Source organism: Homo sapiens, chromosome 12, assembly GCF_000001405.40.
Source record: "Homo sapiens chromosome 12, GRCh38.p14 Primary Assembly".
Classification (NCBI taxonomy): domain Eukaryota; kingdom Metazoa; phylum Chordata; class Mammalia; order Primates; family Hominidae; genus Homo; species Homo sapiens.
In genome coordinates, this window is record NC_000012.12 from 18,331,477 (window position 1) to 18,344,201 (window position 12,725).

At 34.1% G+C, this 12,725-nt stretch overlaps 1 protein-coding gene across 16 annotated transcripts in view; it reads left to right on the forward strand.

The window, feature by feature from the left end:
* The window catches only part of PIK3C2G (phosphatidylinositol-4-phosphate 3-kinase catalytic subunit type 2 gamma), a 483,857-nt gene that overhangs the window by 88,516 nt on the left and 382,616 nt on the right, over positions 1–12,725 (forward strand). For all 16 annotated transcript variants that reach the window (XR_931307.3, XM_047429007.1, XM_017019471.2 and 13 more), the window contains 2 exons: positions 6,950–7,072; positions 11,851–11,884. Coding sequence is in view for 15 of the 16 variants with exons in the window: in XM_047429007.1 (XP_047284963.1) it covers positions 6,950–7,072; positions 11,851–11,884 (157 nt within the window). In the remaining variant the exon portion in view is untranslated. The remainder of the gene's footprint in view (positions 1–6,949; positions 7,073–11,850; positions 11,885–12,725) is intronic.

Consider the following 12,725-nt stretch of genomic DNA (forward strand, 5'->3'; position numbering starts at 1 on the left):
GTGGGAGTGGAACTCACTTTCATATATTGACCTTCTATACTATGTCTTCTTGAAATCACTTTTTATATCTAAGAGTTATTTTTTGGATTCCTTAGGATTTCTACATATACAATCATGTCATCTCTGAAATAATTTTATGTTTTCCTCTTTAGTCTATAGCCCTCTTATTTTTTTACTTGCCTGCCTTATAATTTAACACTTACTGAGTCTCCAATAGGATTTTACAAGTAGTCATAAGAACAGAATCCCCGCCTTGCTATTTTGAGGGAGAACTTTACAGTCTTTTATCATTAAGTGTAAAGTTATTTAGAGGTTATGTTATAATATAAAAAGTTAGTTATATTTTACTGGGTTGAAAAAGCTTCCTTCTATAGTTTACTAAGAGCTTATTTCTTGAATGGATTATGAGTTTTGTCAAATGCTTTTTGTGCATATGTACAAATGCACGTATGGTTTTTCTCTTTTATTCTTTTCAAATTTTAAAAATCTTTTTATTACTGGTATAATTACACTTACTAAGAATTTATAATCTGTTTCATATATTTCTAACTTAAATTAACTAATATTTTGTTAAGGATATTTGCATCTATATTTATGAGGGACATCAGTTTGTGTTTTTATTTTCTTATAATATGGTTAGATTTTGGCATAAGAGTAATGCTGGCCTCATAAAATATTAGATAAGCTATTATTGTCTGAGCTTACAGTGGAGCCTGTGGTACCATGACATTTCCCTCCCTGTAGGATCCTGCTTCATCCTCAGCTTTGACAGCTCCTGCTTGTCTGTGCCAAAGAGACAGTCTCTCTAAACACTGTTGTCACTCTCCCAGCGGTACTCCACCCTTGCTTATTTATTACTCAATGCTAGACCTATTTTGGCAGTGGGGACAAGGAGAGTTCTGTGTTGTAATGAACCAGTCACAGCCTTAGGCAGACTCTGTGTACTTGAGTCTCAGGACTAGGACTCTTGGAGCATTCCTGCCCCTCCTCCACATGGCGGCCAAACTCTGCCTTATATCTGTGTCGTTCACAGTAAACGAGAGTTTATTGCTCCTTATCCCTGACCTCTAATGGGTATCCAGGTAAGATCTTGGACCCAAGACAACTTTCCTGGCCTTTCCCCAGAAGCAAAGGCCTTTTGCTTCTACCCTTCCTTCAACAGCAAAGGAGCTTCTCATCTATGTCCTACTTCTCCCCCAGAGACAAGACTATTTTGCTTTTTACTTCTCCAGAAGCAAGGGGTTTTTGCCTGGGCTCAGGGAAATGCAGGGTTTGCTGCTCCTCCTCGTGCAGCTTAGAGTTTTGCTTCTTATGCAAAAAGGATCCACAGAAGTGGACAGAGCGCCGTAACTGTCTCCCAGAAACAGCTGATTACCTACACACCTGAGCCACCGAATATGACTTCAGTTTCCTGCACAGCCTTCAGTATTTTCCCCGAAAAGCTGGTAGGCGTCCATGGAAAAGAGCTTGCAGGAGACTGTAAACTCCCCATGTGTCTTGGGCTTCCTGATATTCCAAACTGACATGCTAGCTCACACCTGGCCTTTAAAAAATCTGTTAAATTTTAGCTAATTTCTTAATATCTTCTTACTCATGGATATGGTGACCATCTCTTTCTCCTGTGCTCTGCCAAAGTTTGAACATTTTGTGTGCCCCATCTCTCTTTGGAGCAGTTTTCACTGTGTAGTTTGGTTTACTTGGTCACTTTATGACCTTAGATCTCAGCGGGGTTCAGAAAAAGTTATAATTTTGTATATTATCTGGATTTTTCATTGTTGCAGAGAGATCGATGTTCTATATTTTCATTTGTTTGTTTGTTTGTTTATTATACTTTAAGTTCTGGGATACATGTGCAGAACGTGCAGGTTTGTTACATAGGTATACACGTGCCATGGTGGTTTGCTGCACCCATCAACCCGTCATCTACATTAAGTATTTCTCCTATTTCTCTCCCTCCTCTAACCCCCCACCCACCGACAGGCCCGGTGTGTGATGTTCCACTCCCTGTGCCCCTGTGTTCCCGTTGTTCAACTCCCACTTATGAATGAGAACATGCGGTGTTAGGTTTTCTGTTCCTGTGTTAGTTTGCTAACTAAGAATGATGGTTTCCAGCTTCATCCATGTCCCTGCAAAGGACATGAACTCATCCTTTTTTATATTTTAAGCCAAGCTGCATTTCAAAGCTGTTTTTAATCTTTAAGGAAAAAATAATTCATATTGGCACTAACTACTGAACCTGGAATGAACGGCATTCTAAATTCTCAATTTGTCTCCAAACTCATTAATTGAATTTGATAATTTTCACTGTGTCTAATATAAATAGAAACTCATGAAAGTTTATATAAAATCTGGAAGATGGTAAGCTGTTACATGGCTGTTTAAATGCATACTGCTTTGGTCTCCATCACAGCTAAATAAGAGAGGAGAATAATCAACCACTTATGCCGTTTTGTTTGGTTTTCCAGAAAGATGCAGGGGAGACAAGGCTGTTACCCACCTTTTCAAATGTTCAAAACATTTTTCAAGTATGATTAATTAATTCTAAAGTATTAGCATATGGCTCCTTCAAAGTCCGGGACACATCCAATATTTCCAACGATAAGCTTAGAATATACTACATAAAATAACATCATAGTGCTGTTTTCAGTTTTCATTAATCCAAAGAAATTAGAAAGAATTTAGAAGCAGTTTAGTCTAAACTCCTATGCAATGCAAAAATCTTCTCTAAATATCCCTGATTGATCATATACCTGAATCTGGAGCACCTTTCTACTCAACAGGCAGCCTACGCAGTTTTTGGACAAATAATTTTAAGAAAAATTTTTCTTATATTGAGTCAAAAGAACCTTTCTAGGTGTGCAACCATTTGTTCTCATTTATCATCTTAGAGCTACTTACAATAAATCTAATCCTCTTTTTACCTGAAAGACCATCAAATACTTGAAATGGTTATAATGTTTTATTTTTCTTCTTTTTTGCCAAGCTAAAATTTTGTAATACCATCAACTACCTTCACGTTGATGTCTATTAAGCTGTAGTCTTCTGGCTTATGTCTCCACACTAAGTGCTCCATCTGTGACCCAAACTTTCTCCTCCATCATTAAAATATTAAATGTTCTGAAATGTTATGCACCCAGTGTTCAACTTTTTTTTTCTCTGTCTACATTCTCTCTCGGGACAATCACATTCAAATTTTAGTCTATGTATCACCTCTATGAAAATGTTGCCCAAGTCTACCTTTGTTATTTCTTGAAATAGGGTGCTCACCCTGCTGCATTTTGTGTCTGCAGGGGATCTCACCTTGCGAATCAGCCATCATAGGGTTTGTAAATTTTAAACTGATATTCCCCTCGTACTCTGGTGTGTGAGTGCATGTGTGTGTGCATGCATTTGTATATGTATGTGTATTTGGGGAGAAACTCTGTAGGTCAGTATAGAAAAGTGTTTATACAATTGTGCATTTACTTCTGCCTGGGTCCAAAAAGTCACAATAGCCTAGTGCAATTTTTAACATAAATTCCTACTATGAGTAGTATAAATTAATACCCCAGAGACACACAGAGCACAGACGAGGGTTCAGTTCCTCACATAATCATTTTTCTTACTCAAGGGCTGAGTAGAGAGAGGCTTCATCAAAAGTGTTTCTGATCAGTAGGCATAGTTTTTCTTCTCCCACTTTTTACAGGTGGCTGCTATCCAATGTCTGAGGACTATTCGAGGATCTTAGCTCCAGTTCTGCCCCTTCCCCCTACCTTCACCAAGTGATTTAGTCCTAAGATTTCAGCACTTGTCCCACTGTTAGCAAAAAAACACCAATCCTACAGCTGAGGATCTACATCTAGTCTGATATTTCCTCCAGGCCATTACAGCATCACTGTTGGAGCTACTGCTCAGGCTTGAAATTCCCTCTAAATGTCTGCAACCCTGAGATTTATCTTGCCTTTCTTAAAATTTGTGTAATGTTTATATGAACATGTGGGGAGTGTGTGTGTGTGTGTATGTATGTGTGGTGTAGTGTGTCTATATTTTCTCAGTCCAACAGTTGCTAGAGATAGAACTCCCTTGCATTTCCTCTGGGAAGCTCAAAGGCTATGTATCAAAAAATACTCACATCACAATTCTACCAGAAATATTTGTCTGTGTTTCTGCCATAATGAATAGCACCCCATATTCTTAGTTTCCAAAATTTGGAAATGAAACTTTGGAATCATCTTAAATCCAAACTTTCTGTTGGTTCTCATATCCAGTTAATCACCAACTCAATTTTACAATTGCAATCTTTTACTTCACATATTCTAGCAATCTCAGTTATGCATGAATATAATGATTATCTTCAGAATGTCAGAATGTGAAGATTAAATGAGATAAGTAGATCACATAAGAAGTACTGCAAGACTGGAGTAATAGATTGAATAAATCAGCTACTAGCTACCTAGTGACCCAAGTCAACCCAGTATTAGTATTTCAATTAGTGATGTTTATGAATTTTCACAAACCCATGTATCACACATATTTACTTAGAACAGATGAATGAAAAAAAACATAGAACCTAATATGACTTTTCAGTTTTTTATGATTTTCTAATTTTTATTCTATTAGTTATCTCTGCATATACAGTGTTTCATTTCTCTTATAAACTGAAAGATTGGTGTAAATGAATAAAATTAATTAGTTAAACATTAAAATTTAGCCCTCATTATCTGCCAGGCACCATATTTCATATTTTATCTAATTTAATCTTTACAGAAACTTATTTATTGTTCTCACTTCACAGAAGAGGGAGTCTAGGTACATGAAAGTTAAATACTCTGATGATGGCCACAGGTAGAAAGGGGCAGAACCAGGGTGTAAACAAACAGATCTTGACTTCAGAGCTGACAATATTGTCTATGATGTTCTTCTGAATGAATACTGTATTAACAGTATATTAATAGTGAGATTGTTGTCTTTTGGTAATTTCCAATTTGTTTAGTACTTTCTCAAATCTAGTACCCAAACTAAACTCCAGTTTGGATAATATACATTGAAAATGTGGTGGAACTAACTTTCTAGTTATGGAGAGCATGTGTCTTTTGATTCTATTTAATTGTGAACTGGATCTGGTAGCCACATCACAATATTGACTTACATTGAGTTCACACATAAGTGAAATAAATGATTTTTTTCCATTTGGATGACTCATAAATTTTTCTTCTCCATGTTATTATTGAGCGGATGTATTTTTTAATCCATGAAAGACAAAATAGATCTCAACTAAATTGCATCTTTTTACTTTTAGCTCATTAATAAAATCTGTGGACAATTTTTGGAATCCTCACTTTGTCTTTTATAGTATTAATTAGTTATTCTTCAGGTTTTTGTCATTGGTTTCGGATTTGTAAAATTACATATCAGAGATACTGGCTATTTTTCCACAAAAGAAGCAAAGTATTATCCCATTATATAAAACTTGCATTGTGTCTTTGTACTGACACTTTGTTAAGAAAATACCCTAGAATAAGGAGAATTAAAAATTTTTTATGCTGTGAACACATATCTTTGTGTGAAAATAAAAGGAAAAACTCTGTTCCATCTCTTCTTGAAATAAACTATTGTAATTCTCCATTGGAAGGACGGTGGTGCTGGTGACAAAACTGATGTTTTTTGAAAAACCACAATTGTTAACGATAAAGACAAAGAATATAAAAACATTGTAGAGTGAAACATGCTTCACACAGAATCAATGAAAAGAGAGATTTCTCACTATAGTTAATGGAAAAACATGGAAAAGAATAAGGTCAAAACAGAGAAGATTTTTTAAAATAAATGCTTATTTAAGAACATGTGTAAATCTGAGATACAGAACGGCTAATGAAAAGTTCTTAGAATGGTGACCATAAAATCGCTGTCTAGCTTAAGGCCAGCCTGCGTTGTTGATTTTAAGAATTTGTCATTGCTGTAGGTGTATTGGGCCATTTTTGTGTTGCTATAAAGAAATACCTGAGTCTGAGTAATTTATAAAGAAAAGAGGTTGAATTGGCTCATGGTTCTGCAGACAATACAAGAAGTGTGGTGCCAGCATCTGCTTCTGGTGAGGGCCTCAAGAAGCTTGCAATCATAGCAGAAGGTGAAGGGAAATCAGGTGTCTCACGTGGCGAGAGCTGGAGCAGAGGGAGGCGGGATGTGCTGCACAATTTTAAACAACCAGATTTTGTGAGAACTCACTGACTACTGCAAAGACAGCACCAAGCCATTCAAGAGGGATCCGCCCTGTGACCCAATGCCTCCCACCAGGCTTCACTTCCAACATTGAGGCTTATATTTCAATATGAGATTTGGAGAGGACAAACATCCAAACTATATCAGTAGATTATATTTGTCATCAGCGATTTTTTTGAAAAATCAGTCACTTCAAGGATAGTGCAATCAGATGATTATCAAACACCTTAACACCACAACTGGCTGTCCAGAGTTTGTTCCGATTTTCTAGTAAGTTTGCCCAACTATACACTGATTCCAAACAATAGGTGTATTTTGAAACTCTCCTGGGGTCGGCCATCATAACTTTTTCTTCATAGTGTTTTGTGGAAACCACAGACTTTGTCTAAGGCTGAGTTTCCCTGCTTTCCCCACACTTCTTCCTCCCTCTCTTTCTCTCTTTTCCTCTCCCTCTTCCTTACCACTTCCTCTCCTTATACCTCTCTCTCTCATTTTGTTTCAAGTAATGTCAAATTAGAGCTAAGTTAGTAAGTTAGTGTTAAGTCAGTTCTAATTTTGAACATTTGCTCAATGAAAATTAAAGCCCCAGTCACAGGATAACCAGAGTCTTGAGAACTTTCTTTTTGTGTGAAAGCAAACAAGCATATTTTATTCCACTTGCTCCTCATGGAAAAAGAAGAAGTTTGAGGATAAATTAATGTCCCCTCATTTATTTCAATAGATTGTAAGATGTGAATCTTGTTATCTACAGGAAAACGTGTATAATATTATTGAAGAAGTTAAAAAAATATGCAGTGTTCTAGGGTGTGTGGAAACCAAACAAATTACAGATGCAGTAAATGAACTAAGTCTAATTCTTCAGAGAAAAGGAGAGGTAAGTACATTCATTTATTACACAGTAGTTTTAAACCTGAGTTCAATACTTAATTAAGGAGAGTGAAAGACTTTTTACTAACAACTATATTTCCGTGTGTATGTTTGTGTGTATCTGTGTGTGTGTGTGTGTGTGTGTGTGTGTGTGTGTGTGTGTGTGTGCATGCAGCCAAACAGTATATTTCAATTGTTTGGGGGTATTGGCAGCTTGAGTCTATTATGCCAAATAGATCTGATTAAACTATAAGAACACTGATTACACCTTTGAAGTTTGTAACCACCTTATAACTTCAGGTGATATTGTAATCAATCCTACAATCCTACCTAAATGAACGTAATTATATAATAATCACATGTAAGTGTTTGTATAGATTGTTAATGGTTCTCATGTATACGAGTGTATACAGGCATTAAGTGTCATGTTTGTATGGATAAGCATATTTATAAAAAAGAAAAAATCAATTTTTGTGGTATCTTTTGCGAATTTTGCAGTGCACACTGCCTCCATGATTTCTGTGTGACTTTCTATGGATCCCACATCATGATTTGGTGGGCTTAAAAAATGGGCATTATGTGATTTTCTTTTGAATTCTCAGAAATCTGATGTAGACCTGTAAGTGATTATTTTCCAAGAAAAATATTACGACATCTGGTTACAATAAATTCATTTATCTTATTATTAGTTTAGCAAATGATAAAGCAGAAAGATATGATGATAATAACTAGCATTTGCTAGTCCATTGTAATGTATAAAATAGTTTGACATATGCATTACCTCACTGAATTTAATTTTTATTTTATCTCAATAGATGCTCACAGCAATGTCATAAAGTTGGTATTTTAATGTTCATTTCACTATGAAAACTCAACACTTACAGTGTGTGTGTGTACAGAGAATTAATAAGTGGCAAAATACAGATTTGAACCTAGGCCTCTACACACATTACAGTGTATGTGAAACTTTCTAAGATAGAGTGAATACATACATTCTCTATCTGCATGGTAAAGAACAAGAGAAATTCTACTACTTTTGAATATGCCAATCTTGAAATTTTCAAAAGACTGATTTACAATGTAGATAATCATATTACCAAACAGAAATAGTCATGCTTACTGCTTATTGTTTCAAATAGATAAGTGGGTATGAAAATTCAGTAGTTTCTTAATGTTGGGCTTTCTAGATCTTATTTAATCCAAAGTTTTGTGTGATTAGACAGTAAAAAAATGAATATAGAAATTTAAATACGTTCTTTACATGAACAATGACAATGAAGATTTTGATGAGTCATGGAGGTATACCACAAAAATATTTTAAGGATAAACATTGCTGAAAAGCTAAAATGCAAAGCACTAAAGAAATCAAAATTTAAATAATGTAAACAATAAATCCAGAAATTAAATATCAAAGACAGATTTGTGTTTATTTCCCTAAATTTTTCTTAATAAGGAAACACCTTCTCTTTTACTTTCCAATTATAGAAGGAAATGGAATAACTATGTAGTCTCCAAAACTGTTTTTATATGTAGCTATTAAGACCTAGTGCCTTTACAAATAACAACAAGGTAAAACAATCTAATTTGATCATATATAATATAATCATATTTTTCTATTCTGCTTCAGAGTGAAAAAAATATACTACAGCAGGGTGTTCAATCTTTTGGCTTCCCTGGGCCATGTTGGAAGAATTGTCTTGGGCCACACATAAAATACACTAACGCTAACAATAGCTGATAGGCTAAAAAAAAAAAATCTCATAATGTTTTAAGGAAGTTTACATATTTGTGATATTTGTGTTGGGCCACATTCAATGTCATCCTCGGCCACATGTGGCCCACAGGCCGCAGGTTGGACAAGCTTGTATCAGAGTCTTAAAAAGCATTTCACCAGTATGTTTTGAAAACAACTATTTTGATGAGCTTATAAACTTGGCAATTATATGATGCTGAAAAAGGGCTTTCTAATTGGTGATGTTAAGTCAGTATAACAAGGTAGTGAGAATTAACTTTGAACAAGCAGTTATTACTCTTAAATTGTCACATTTTAGAAACATTACAAGCTCCAAGAGCTGATAAAATACATGAGATAAGATAATGCAGATACTAAGATCTACCAGTTTCTATCTAAACATCCTGTGGAAAACTAATTCACTTTTTGGAGTTTTAATTTTCCTCATGTTTAAAACAGAAAAATAAAATAATTTCCTGAGTTCTTGTGAGTATGGGAAACAATGTTAATAAAGGGCCCTGATGACAGTGTAGCTTAAATGAGATCATTGCTGTTAATGGAGGTATTAAGGATGGTGCTGGTGCTAGTTCTGGAGAATCTTTCCCACAACGCCAATATGAAGGCTTTAATTCACACAAGCACCAGGAAGGTTGGCCCTTGTCACCTCATGGCCATCGATTACAGCCAGCCTCCTGACAAATATGAACCACTGCCAGAGGAGGAAACCAGATGTGTGGATGTCGACACGTCTTCCCATCTGTTAAGACTATTTGGTTATTCTTCGACTTTTATGTCCAGTTCTTAACGAATTGGCAAACAACTGACCAAACAACGAGGAAAATATAATTTTAGGATGAAGTATTTCAAAGGATGTTAAAGTATTGCTGGTTATAAAAAGTTTTATCTTCAAAACACTCATTTTCTGAAACTCCTTAAGAGAATAAAAATGACAATTTTCAGAAATATCAAACTTACAATATTTGAAGCTAAAAGAATTCTTCACAAAGGAATTGGGTATTTCATAGGAAAGCCATAAACAATTATAATACTCAAGAAAAACTCATCTTCACATTTCACTTTCCTTATGTACTAGTATAAACACAAAATTTTGTGTGATATTTCTTTGAAACTTTTAAACTCGTAATGTCTAAATATTTATCCTATATTTTGATAAGACTAAAATGATTTTCATGCATAGAAATTAAAAAAGGAGTTGAAAATAAGGAGTTTATTTAATATATGTCAATAGACAAAATAGTTCAATATTCTGTAAAAACTGGGTCCCACTTATTTTGAGCAGACTGCTGAAAGCTCATTTATTCTACATCAGTTGCATTTATACTTTTGTTCATCTCTTTTTCCATCCCATTTTAAATGTGAGCCCACCTATGTAAGAGTACTGGCACACATAGTAAGTACATTTTACAGAATTTGTGCAGTAACCAGCTACAGTTAACAATGCCAAAGCAGTCTATCCACCCACCATGAACTTAAGATTGAAGAAATGACAAATACAGGTCTTCTGCCAACAAACTGTGAAATTTAAGAAGCTTTTCTTTTTCTTGGCTGCATTTTTGGTCAACATGCAAAGGACTATTTCCTGCCATACAGGGAAGTCCTTAGGTGTTTATTAAATGTAAGTTTTGGCAAGATGAAGAATTATATGACAAACATACTTGTACTCTATTTTATTCTCTGACCCAGCACTGGAAACAATTTGCATCCTTCAAATTATATTCCAGAACTCACATAATTTAATTTCCATTAAATGCTTACATAATAGGCGAACCACGAAGTGAAAATATGGTCTTGCACATCATGGTGTAGGTGGATGTCACGGTGATTTTCTAATACAAGTTTATATTTCTAAATAAATTGAATTTTAGTTAAATCAGTCTAACATTTTTAATAGTCTCACCCACATAGATAGAGTGGGGATCTTATATGTAGTTGTTAAGAGTAGCAACTGATACTATACTCTAATGAAATATTTTGCCTAATAGAAATGCTTCTGAAAAGGTTCATGCAAATGATGCTTTTAATTAAAAAGTTGCATATAAATGTAATGACATTTTAAACATGATCAAAATGTTCTCTCTCTAAAGGAATACTGTAACAATTTTTTTGTTACGGAAAAACAATTATTCTCTAATTTATTTGTTTGAGAAACCTGGCTTTTAACTAATTGTATTTCCTTAAATGCAAGACTTGAAATTTTATTTTTTTATTTTTACTTTTTTAAATTTTGAGTTTATAAATTTAAAAAATTTTAATGTTAATTAAAATGGATCTTATTAAAAATTGTATTTCCTTTTGGGCTGAAACCATTTTTTAGGATGTCTATAAATCACCTTATACAGTTTTCATGATAGTTTAGTTACAACCAGCAAATCCTAAGCCACCAAAGTAATTCTAGGCTTCTAACAAGGATAAAAATAAATAAATAAGGAAGGCCACCACACTAATGGACATGAATTTAAAGAATAATGAAAATGAAAACCAAAAAAATAGGATTTCAGATTGTATTTTTTATTTAAGATATGACTCAAGATATTTTATTTTTTCAAGTGTTAGACTATCAGATTTTTAAAAATTCCCTAAGAAGAAAAAAAGAAAGAAAACTATTTAGTGAATCTGTACTGATTTTGTCCACTTCAATTCAGTCTTGTTTTTGGTGCTGTCCAAAGCTTGCTGAATAACTGCTAGGAATAAGAGCTGGACACGGCATACAGAGAGAATTAGAAATGCACTTTTATCAAAAAATCAGTCACTGTTATGTAAGGAGGATTGAGCTTAGACAATCTGTTGTGGTAATTTCTTTTTAAAAAAATACATAACCTACATTGCTTATTACAATATTTAGAAAGTTTTTATTTCATCATACAATTTAAATTCATCCTGTTTAATAAGCAAATTGATATATGATGCCAAGAAATATTTTGTTGTTTTACCATGACAAAGAAATTATAATGTTTAGATTTTGGACATTACTATTTGACTATTTTGTGAATTTGTTGTGCGAATAACAAGTATAATTTTACATTTTTTTTCAGAATTTTTATCAAAGTTCAGAGACTTCAGCAAAAGGTAAAACATACATGTACTCAAGTATTTTGAAATAAAGAAAAAAATAAGTTACAGAATCCAAAATACTTTTTTCAATTTTTTTATGCAAATACTGTGGTAACACACAACACACACACACACACACACACACACGAGCTTTTTGAGGAGAAAGATGCTTTTCTAAAGTTCTTTTTATTAATGGAAGTGATTATTCTGCAAGGGAATAAAAATCTGCACTCTCTAAACTTTTAGCCTGATATTTTAAAAATAATGAGAAAAATAAAAAGATCTATAAAAATTATAATACTGAAAATATCTTATAACCATTCCAAGACATTGAAAATTTTACCATTTACTTAATTATATTTTGATGTAAGAAAAATTAGAAAAGTAGTAGATGTCTGTCTGCAAGGTCATCCACTTCAAATTTGAATTCCAGCTCTATTTGAAAGACCAAGCTAATATAACAGGTAGGAGGATTTGGTTCTGGAATAATTAGTGTTTACAGAGGCTTCGAGTCTATAAAATTGCAAGCCACGGGAGGACTTTGCCTCTATAGAAAACAGTAGGTGTGAGATTGCATGGGACGGAGCAGTCTGACTTTTGGAATCAGGCAGAACTGGTTTTGAATTTCAACTCTCCCAACTCAAATCTCAACTGGTTTTGAATCAAAGACTCTGCTTTCAGAGTCTGTGAATCTAGATTAAACTCTTTGATCCCGTTATAGTAATATGCATAAACAATATAATAGGATTTAATGTGCAGGATCTGGTCAGGATCGTTCTTGGTTGTAGATGGTACTTGGCACAGGAATACTCTGAGTATCTGCAAGAAAACTGCCTGCCCCTCAGATGTTCAACTA